We start from the raw sequence: 4,502 nt of genomic DNA on the forward strand, positions 1-4,502 counted from the left end.
CAATGGCACAGTCTTGGCTCACTACAGCCTCTGCCTCCTGGGTTCAAGCCATTCTCCTGCCCCAGTCTCCCAAATAGTGGGATTACAGGTGCCCACCACCATACCCAGCTAATTTTTTTGTATTTCTTAGTAAAGTATTTTGTATTTTTAGTAAACACTTTTAGTAACATATTTTTGTATTTTTAGTAAAATTCTTTTTGTATTTTTAGATTTCACCATGTTGGCCAGGCTGATTTCCAACTTCTGACCTTAAGTGATTTGCCCGCCTTGGCGTCCCAAAGTGCTGGGATTACAGGCATGAGCCACTGTGCGTGGCTGACATTAATTGTTTATGCTAAAACAAACATTATGGAATAAAACGATAAATTGAGTTAACTTTTATGATAAAACAGTTTATAGAAATAGTATCATTTCAAGTTATCATTCCCCTCTGCTGTTGAAGTGGAGCATTTCCAGATGCTCTGGCCTACAGGATTAGCCTATTCTCCAGAATATCCCACCATCTTTTCAGTCTTATCACTCTCTGTCTATTCCCCAATGCAAATTATTTTCCTGCCAAATTATCTTCTTGACATTTCTCCCAATTACTCAGCTTTGCTTTGTTGCTCTTGATGGTCATCTGACTTCAACACCTGCTTTTCCTCCTCTCTGCTTTCCAAACCTGATCATGCCTTCAAGACCAGGACAACTCCACCTCCTACCACAATGCTGCCTGCCTAACCACAGGAGCCCAGATATCTTCTTGTTGTTTTTTCTATTTTTTAGAGATGGGGTCTCACTATGTTGTCCAGGCTGGTCTCAAACTCCTTGGCTCAAGCAGTCCTCCCACCTTGGCCTCTCAAGGTCCTGGGATTACAGATATGAGCCACTGAGCCCAGCCCAATTTATTCTTCTTATCCGAAAACACTTATTGAAATACCATGGACAGGGGTTGGCAAACCATAGCCTGGAGTCAAATGCTGCCTGCTGCCTGCTGGTGACTGACAGAGTTACAACAGAGACCATAGGGCCTGCAAAGTCTGACAGATTTACTATCTGGCCTTTTACAGAAAAAGTTTGCCAATACCTAGTCTAGGTCCTTATTATCTTTTCTAGCACTAAAATTCCATTATCTTTTAATATATTACCTTGTTGGCCGGGCATGGTGGCTCACACCTGTAATCTCAGCACTTTGGGAGGCCAAGGCGGGTCGATCATGAGGTCAGGAGTTCGAGACCAGAATGGCCAATATGGTGAAACCTGGTCTCTACTAAAACTACAAAAATTAGCTGGGCATGGTAGTACACGCCTGTAGTCCCAGCTACCCAGGAGGCTGAGACAAGAGAATCGCTTGAACCCAGGAGGTGGAAGTTGCAGTCAGCCAAAATCGTGCCATTGCACTCCAGCCTGGGCAACAGAGCAAGACTCCATCTCAAAACAAACAAACAAACAAAAAACAAAATTCTCTCTCTCTATATATATATATATATTATATATATATAAAACCTTAATTCACTTTTTATAGATGGCATTTTGCAAATGAGACCACAAGCTCTTTACAATCTTATTCATTCAGCTTCTATCCTAGGACCTAGGAAAGTTCTATCCTTGATGAACGTGCTCCGTGGCTTCCTCTGGTACATTACTAAATAACATATTATCATGGTGCAACTTTAAATATGAAATAAACCTGCTGCTTTCCTTTTTTTTTTTTTTTTTTTTTTTTTGCTTTTTTTTGAGATAGAATCTCACTCCATTTCCCAGGCTGGGGTGCAGTGGTGCAATCTCAGCTCAGTGCAACCTCTGCCTTCTGGGTTCAAGTGATTCTAGTGCCTCAGCCTCCTGAGTAGCTGGGATTACAGGCGTGTGCCACCACACCTGGCTAATTTTGGTATTTTTTTTTTTTTTTTTTTTTTTTTGTATAGACAGGGTTTCGCCATATTGGCCCATCTGGTCTCAAACTCCTGGCCTCAAGTGATCCACCTGCCTCGGCCTCCCAAAGTGTTTGGATTACAGGCATGAGCCACTGCGCCTGGCCTAAACCTGCTTTTCTAATGATGATGTAACTGACCGGTATATGGTATGTTTGTCAATCAACCAATCTTCAAATGCTTATTTAGTATTTTTGCTGTGCTAGGTTCCAAGCAGTGAGAGATGAGTCACATAAGAAAAACATAAGCTCTTCTTGCCCTCTCAGATTTGACCACCTCATTGAGACCAGACTAACACCTTTGAGTTGAACCAGTTGAGGTGAACCAGTTGTATGATGCCTCATGTTCCAGAGGAAGGAGAAATTGGTGCGGGCTGAAGGCTAAGAGGGGGCACTTAACCCCTATTCAATGAACATATCTTGTGGACACTAAGCAATAAAGTTTGGTAGATGGCATGCAAGAATTATAGGGCTAGGTGCAGTGGCTCACACCTATAATCCTAGTACTTGGGGAGTCTAAGGTGTGAGGATCACTTGAGGCCAGGAGCTCAAAATCAGCCTGGCCAACATAGGGAGATTCCATCTCTACTAAATAATTTTAAAGTTAGCAGGGCATGGTGGGGCATGTCTGTAGTCCCAGCTACTTGGGAGGCTGAAGTGGGAGGATAGTTTGAACACAGGAGTTGGAGTCTGTAGTGAGCTATAATCACACCATTACACTCCAGCCTGGGCAACAGAAGAAGACACTGTCTCAAAAGAGAATTATATAAAGCAGGTTCTACATTGCCAGAGACCTTTTAATTGCGGTTCTTGGTGCAATAAGCTAAATTCTTCTATGTGTACTCTACAGGTGATAGGAGGAAAATACTCCCTAGCTCACAACTATGTTCAATATTTGTACTGATTTGAATATTTGTAACTCATAACTATGTTTGATATTTGTACTGATTTGAATATTTGTAACTTACCTTTCTTGTTGAACCAAAAAAAATTTTGAAACAGCCTAAAACAAATTTATTCATTAATCATCCAACAAATATTTATCAAGTACCCATGGTGTCAATGTCTGTGTTTCCCCCAAATTTATACGTTGAAATCTTCAACTCCAAGGTGATGATATTAGGAGGTGGGGCCTTTGGGAGGTGATTAGATCCTGAGGGCCGAGCTCCCATGAATGGGATTAGTACCCTTATAAAACAGGTACCTTGCGGTGGCTCATACCTCTAATCCCAGCCTGGTGGCCAAGGTGGGCAGATCACAAGGTCAGGAGTTTGAGACCAGCCTGGCCAACGTGGCAAAACCCCATCTCTACTAAAAATACAAAAATTAACCAGGTGTGGTGGCAGGCGCCTTTAATCCCAGCTACTCGGGAGGCTGAGGCAGAAGAATTGCTTGAATCCAGGAGGCGGGAGGCTGAGGCAGAAGAATCACTTGAACCTGGGAGGAGGAGGTTGCAGTGAGCCGAGATTGCGCCACTGCACTCCAGCCTGGGCGACAGAGTGAGGCTCCATCTCCAAAAAAAAAAAAAAAAAAACCGATCACAGAGAGCTAGCTGGCTCCTTCCACCATGTGACAACACACTGAGAAGGCATCATCTATAAACCAGGAAACAGGCCCTCCCCAAACACCAAATCCACCAGTGCTTTGATCTTGGACTTCCCAGCCTCTAGAGCTGTGAGAAATAAATGTTTGTTGTTTAAGCCAACTGGTCTGTGGTATTCTGTTGTAGCAGCCCAAATGGACTAAGACAGCCTACTACCTGCCTCTTCTAAGCTCTAGGAATATAGAGATGAATAAGACTGACCAGGTCCTGAACTCCTTCAATGATGAGAGACAATCAGTAAGTAAATATGATCAATACAGACAGCAATAAGTGCTCTGAAGGAAATGAACATGGTGACCCAGGGCAAAGTAACTGGTGCTCAGTGGGAAGAGGTCAAGGAAAGTCTCTCTAAGGTCTTCCCCTGAGACCTGGTGAGAGAGAAGCAGCCAAGAAATGGGCTGAAACAGAAGTCCAGAAGCAGGCAGAATGACCACAAAAGCTGGAAGCAGTTCTAAGCTTGGTGTGTGTTTGTAGAAAGCCAGTCGTGGATGGAGTGAATGACAGGACAAGAGGCTGGGAAGCTGGTCAGGAGCTAAGCCATGGAGAGCCCTGCAGGGCATTGTTAGGACTTCAGCTTTGATTCTATGGGCAAAAGACATGGTAGAATAATAGAAACAAAATTAGAAAATCCAGGAAGAAAATATCCAGAGTCAAAAGATCTGCTACATCTAAGGACTCACAGCTGTAATAATTGAGCTTCAGATTTGCTCTTGGGTTTTCTACAACCAGAGCCAAAAAGGGCAATATAGATTACTGGCTCTAGTTATCTGAATGAGAAAGTGTAGCAGTTTCTTGGATGACCAATTTTGTCCTGGCACTCGGTTCTACAAGAAATGCTTCCTTTGAATCTTTCTTAGACACAGGACTTTGAGGAATATAATGGTCAATTTCCTAGAAAACAGTTTTCCAGCAAATCCGAACTGGTTTTCTCATGGCTGTCTCCAGTTCCTGTGGCTCAGTGGCTGAAACACAACTCAGTGAGGTTTGAAC

Source organism: Homo sapiens, chromosome 1, assembly GCF_000001405.40.
Source record: "Homo sapiens chromosome 1, GRCh38.p14 Primary Assembly".
NCBI lineage: Eukaryota > Metazoa > Chordata > Mammalia > Primates > Hominidae > Homo > Homo sapiens.